General features: G+C 48.2%; 1 annotated feature.

Moving 5' to 3' along the window:
- Positions 447 to 618: a silencer, noted in NCBI's record as "fragment chr18:47057605-47057776 (GRCh37/hg19 assembly coordinates)". NCBI's record gives its function as "represses an EF-1alpha promoter that drives an FKBP-Casp9 reporter gene in an ReSE screen in K562 erythroleukemia cells {active_cell/tissue: K562}" and the evidence as "EXISTENCE:reporter gene assay evidence [ECO:0000049][PMID:32094911]".

The following is a 1134-nucleotide window of genomic DNA, read 5'->3' on the forward strand; positions in this document are numbered from 1 at the left end:
AGCATGTTCTTAAGGCACAGATCGCTCATGCTATTGTTTGTGGCTTAAGAATGCCTTTAAGTGGTTTTCCGCCCTGGGTGGGCCAGGTGTTCCTTGCCCTCATTCCAGTAAACCCACAACCTTCCAGCGTGGGCGTTATGGCCATCATGAACATATCACAGTGCTGCAGAGATTTTGTTTATGGCCAGTTTTGGGCCATTTAAGGCCAGATTTTGGGGCGCTTGTTCCCAACAGGATTGCTTGAGGCTAGGAGTTTGAGACCAGCCTGGGCAACATAAGGAGACCCCATCTTTATGAAAAATACAAAAATTAGCTGGGTATAGTGACACATGCCTGTAGTCCCAGATACGCAGGAGGCTGAGGCAGAAGGATTACTTGGGCCCAGGTGGTCAAAGCTGCAGAGAACTATGATTGTGCCACTGCACTCCAGCCTGGGTGACACAGTATGAGAACTTATCTCAAAAAAAGGGGGTCTTATGAATCTTTTTTTTTTTTTTTTTTTAGATGGAGTCTTGCTCTGTTGCCTGGGCTGCAGTGGCACGATCTTGGCTCACTGCAACCTCTGTCTCCTAGGTTCAAGTGATTCTCCTGCCTCAGCCTCCCAAGTAGCTGGGATTACAGGTGCCTGCCATTATGCCTGGCTAATTTTTGTATTTTTAGTAGAGACGGGGTTTTATCATGTTGGCCAGGCTGGTCTCAAGCTCCTGGCCTCAAGTGATTTGCTGCCTCAGCCTCCCAAAGTGCTGGGATTACAGATGTGAGCCACTGCGTCCGGCCAAAAGGGAGTCTCATGAATCTACTTCTACCTGTGTGTCTGATACATCTGTGTATCTGTGTCATGTATACATTTTGTAGCAGGACGAGCTGTAGACAAAACTCCTCAGACACCGAGTTAAAGAAGGAAGGGGTTTATTCAGCTGGGAACATTGGCAAGACTCCTGTCTCAAGAGCCAACCTCCCTGAGTGAGCAATTCCTATCCCTTTTAAGGGCTCACAACTCTAAGGGGGTCTGCGTGAGAGGCTCGTGATCGATTGAGCAAGCAGGGGGTATGTGACGGGGCTGCATGCACCAGTGGTCAGAGTGAAACAGGACAAACCAGGAAGTTTCACAATGTCTTTTCTATACAATGTCTG

This window comes from Homo sapiens, chromosome 18 (genome assembly GCF_000001405.40).
Source record: "Homo sapiens chromosome 18, GRCh38.p14 Primary Assembly".
NCBI lineage: Eukaryota > Metazoa > Chordata > Mammalia > Primates > Hominidae > Homo > Homo sapiens.